The sequence below is a fragment of the Homo sapiens genome, chromosome 4 (assembly GCF_000001405.40).
Source record: "Homo sapiens chromosome 4, GRCh38.p14 Primary Assembly".
Taxonomy (NCBI): Eukaryota; Metazoa; Chordata; class Mammalia; order Primates; family Hominidae; genus Homo; species Homo sapiens.
In genome coordinates this window covers 1517694-1522006 of record NC_000004.12, presented here as the reverse complement: position 1 = coordinate 1522006, position 4313 = coordinate 1517694, and the positions used below count along the sequence as shown (strand labels likewise).

General features: G+C 63.6%; 1 annotated feature.

The window, feature by feature from the left end:
• Positions 1122-1675: an enhancer, noted in NCBI's record as "H3K27ac-H3K4me1 hESC enhancer chr4:1522059-1522612 (GRCh37/hg19 assembly coordinates)". NCBI's record gives its function as "activates a minimal SCP1, AML or CMV promoter by ChIP-STARR-seq in primed H9 embryonic stem cells {active_cell/tissue: H9 hESC(primed)}" and the evidence as "EXISTENCE:reporter gene assay evidence [ECO:0000049][PMID:30033119]".

The window sequence follows — 4313 nt, the reverse complement described above, 5'->3', positions numbered from 1 at the left end:
GGCGCTGGGTCCAACCTCTTTCCAGGTGGGGACCCGAGTGGCAGCTGTGAGCCCAGGAGGGCGCTCTTCCTCGCGGGCCAGGGGGGCTGCAGAAGACCACCAGGGGGGCTTCTGAGTTGCTGGTGGGCACTCACCTGGGGGCCGGTCCTGGGGGCCAACAGGCGCCCAGCAGGGGCTTGGCGTGGCCTCCGCCCTTGGAGGGATGAGCTGGGGCTGTTGCTTGACCCGCGTTAACTTTTAATTTAAAGTCTCTCACCAAAACACAATGGACTTTTGACATACAAATATTAAAAATTAAATTTCCCGAGTTCATTATCTGATAATTAGAACTAAATAACATCTTAACTGAGAGGCCAGCCCCACGCAGATCAAGTCAGTTCCATTTAAGATTCCATTAGACCAGTGTCGGAGCGATAAGTAATGGACCATAAAATTTAATTTGGAAATGATCTCGCGCCGAGATGGAGCGACAGCGCTTCACAAAGAGCGGCCGGGCCACGGGGCCCCGGCGGGGGCGGGATTCAAAGGCACCGCGGCGGCCGCCGGGAACATGTGTTCGCGCTTTCTTCCCTTTCTCGGCCCTGCGGTATTTAAAAGTCAGAATTGACCAGTGTAGCTCCGTGTAATTACAAAGATCCCCTTATCAGAGTCTATTTGCCGGCGCGAGGAAAGAGAGGCCGGAGCCGTCGGCTCATTTGCATGCGGGGCCCCGGCGGCCGCAGGAATCACCAGGATCAGCGCGGGCCTCGCTGCACCGGGAGGGGCCGGGCATGGGCGAGGCTGGAGGGAGAGGCGTCCCCGGGGCGGCCTCGGAGGGGCTGGAGGGGGGAGAGGCGTCCCCGGGGCGGCCTCGGAGGGGCTGGAGGGGGGAGAGGCGTCCCCGGGGCGGCCTCGGAGGGGCTGGAGGGGGGAGAGGCGTCCCCGGGGCGGCCTCGGAGGGGCTGGAGGGGGGAGAGGCGTCCCCGGGGCGGCCTCGGAGGGGCTGGAGGGGGGAGAGGCGTCCCCGGGGCGACCTGGGCGGGGCTGGAGGGGGGAGAGGCGTCCCCGGGGCGGCCTCGGAGGGGCTGGAGGGGGGAGAGGCGTCCCCGGGGCGGCCTCGGAGGGGCTGGAGGGGGGAGAGGCGTCCCCGGGGCGGCCTGGGCGGGGCTGGAGGGGGGAGAGGCGTCCCCGGGGCGGCCTGGGCGGGGCTGGAGGGGGGAGAGGCGTCCCCGGGGCGGCCTCGGAGGGGCTGGAGGGGGGAGAGGCGTCCCCGGGGCGGCCTGGGCGGGGCTGGAGGGGGGAGAGGCGTCCCCGGGGCGGCCTCGGAGGGGCTGGAGGGGGGAGAGGCGTCCCCGGGGCGGCCTCGGAGGGGCTGGAGGAGGGAGAGGCGTCCCCGGGGTCGCCGCCGCGTAGGGAGGGGTCCGCGCACCCTGGACAGGCCGGGGCTGGTGTCCCGGGGTCGCTCGGGTCTTTGCAGAGTGACGACGGCTGGGAAGGACCCCGCTCCTGAAGCCAGACCCAGAGCGGCTGAGACCTTTCCAGAAGCTGCTTCCGTGCTGAGTGCAGGGAGCCTTTCCAGGGAGCCTTTCCGCCCTGCCTTTCCAGCCGTTCCCTCCCCGAGCCTGGCTTCCGCCCTTCTGGGCTCAGCAGGCTTTGGACGCTGGTTCGATCCCCGCCCCTGGAAACCATCCCCGTGGCTTGTGGGTGCCGGGGCCGTGGCGCAGCCCCACGCTGACTGCAGAGGAGCCCTTGAGCCCTCGCCGAGCCCACGCACTCCTACCCTGTGCTGGCAACCTGGCCACCTGTCCCCTGGTCCACCCGCGCCATCAGGGCGGGCCCGGCGGCGGGGCCTCCAGCGACAGGATCCAGTAGCGGAGAGGAAGGAGGCTGAGGGACCCCACTCCGCGCCCGCCCCTCGCCCCCCCCTCCGCTAGGCAGAAGCCCCCGCCGCCAGACCCCAAGGAAGCGTCTAAAATTAATTCTTGTTCCCGCAGCAGCGGGTGACCCCGATGTGTCGGCCTCCACGGCTCTAGCCGGCAGCCGGCTCTGCGTCTTATCTCCAGAGCAGCCTCATTTGTTAACTTCTCGCTGAATACACCCTCTCCCATTATTTCTGTAATTCTTGGCAATAACAGCCCTTCCCCTAATGAAACCTGCATTATTGGAAGGTTGCAGTCCTGACCCGGTGAAGATTAGCTGTGTCCTCTGTTATTGCTACATATGTAATTGTATAATTGATTTTAAAATTTACTTTTGTGTCCCCACATCATAAAGTAAGCAGCCCATTAAGGGGCAGAAATATAATTAATATATCTGTAACCACTTCAACCTCGGGAAAACAAGGGCTGGGGGGCTCTGCCGGCCTGTGGGCAGGGGCGCCGCAGGGTCCACCCCTAGGCCTCCTACAGTCATGGGCCTCGGGAGGGGCTGTCCAAGGGGGTCCGAAGTGGGGTGGGGTGGTGCCTCCTCCAGCGGGAAGGCTGCCTGCCTGTGGCCATGCCCCCTCCAGCCGCCCCCAGGCCCAGTGGCCCTGCCCTTGCTGGAGTGTGGTTGTGGTGAGGCTGGACTGATCCCACGGGGGCCCTCTGAGGCTGAAGCCCCTGCCCAGCTGCCTGCATCGTGGGCACCCAGGGAGCAGAGGGGAGTGAGGGGCCCGTAGGAGGCTGCAGGGAGCTGGGCCCAGGCCAGCCCCTGTAGCAGGGTACATTCCACCGTGGTTCTCTTTGCCTTTGCCACCCCTTCCCAGGCACAAAGACACCCTGTGCCTGCTTGTCCACCCTCTGCCCTAACCAGACCCGGTACTCCATGAAGGGCCACTTGGGCGCCAGGGTCAGTGCCCATGCTGGCTCCAGAAGAGCCTGGTGCTGGCCCCCAGCCTTTGCAGCTACGCTGGCCGGCCGGGAGGTCTCCAGGGCTGGCTCCAGGTACTACCGCCTTTGAGGGGATGGAGAGGAACCAGGGTGCCGGGAGCCTGGAGACCTGGCCCAGGCGGAGGGAGGCACATAGCCTTTGCCCAAACACCCCTGTGGCACCCCAATTTAATGTTTTTTGTTTGTTTGTTTTTCTGAGACAGTCTCGCTTTGTCGCCCAGGCTAGAGTTCAGTAGCGCAGTCTTGGCTCACTGCAACCTCCACCTTCCACGTTCAAGTGATTCTCCTGCCTTGGCCTCCCGAGTAGCTGGGATTACACGTGTGCGCCACCACACCCGGCTAATTTTCGTATTTTTTATAGAGATGGGGTTTTGCCATGTTGTCCAGGCTGGTATCGAACTCCAGGCCTCAAGTGATCCATCTGCCTTGGCCTCCCAAAGTGCTGGGATTCCAGGCATGAGCCACCATGCCCGGCCCAATGTTCTTTCTTTTTATTTAAACAGCTTTATCGAGATATGACTTGCACAGCATTTAAATTGTAAAATTCAGTGTTTTTCATTTTCCACAGAGCTGCACAACCATCACCACAGTCCATTTTCAACATCTGCATCACCTCCAAAGAAACCCTGCGCCGTCCCCTCCGCAGCCCCCGGCGACCCCTCACCCCTCATCCAGATTTGCCTGCTCCAGGTGTTTCCCAGGAGCGGAGTCACGGAACACGCCCTTTGTTGCCGGCCTCCTTCACTGGCCACAGAGTCCTCAGGGTCCCCCCAGGCTTCAGTGCCAGCGTCCTTCCTTTTGATGCGTGTGATGCTCTGGGTGAGGACAGCCTCTGTGGGTGGCCAGCTTGCCCGGCAGTGCAGACTTGGGTGCCCCCACCGTGGTTGTCAGGGCGGCTCCCTGCCTGCTGTTGGCACGGGGTGGACGCACTCACAGGTGTGCAGACGCATGGATCACAGGTGTGCAGATGCATGGATGGGTGTGCAGCGCACACTCGCAGGTGGGGTGCTGGGAAGGGCCGGTGCCAGGCCAGAGCTGCAGAGTACGGCAGGGGCTCCTCAGCCTTGGGCCCTCAGGTGGCTTCATGGCCAGGGGGCCCTACTCAGAGGGTACCTGGTGCTGCCCCAGGAGGCCAGCTTTGCTGCACATAGGTCCTGGGCAGTCAGGCAGTGCTGCTGGCTGAGGGGCTGGGCAGGACGAGGGCCTGGTCTGCTTGGCCTCCCTAGGACAGCCTCCACACAGACAACAGCCCTGGAAAGGCCGTAGGCTCAAATTCACCAAGTGCTGCCCGTCCAGGGGCTGGTGCCACCGGAGAGGCTCACTGACTGCCCCTGTGACTGGTGAGCTCGAGGCAGGGGTGTAGTCTGCCCACCAGAGGACCTATGTTGCTCCCAGACAGACCGTTCACAGCCCTCTGGTGTGGATGGGGCTGCTCGTACATCACAGTCCTCAACACCCGGGTCT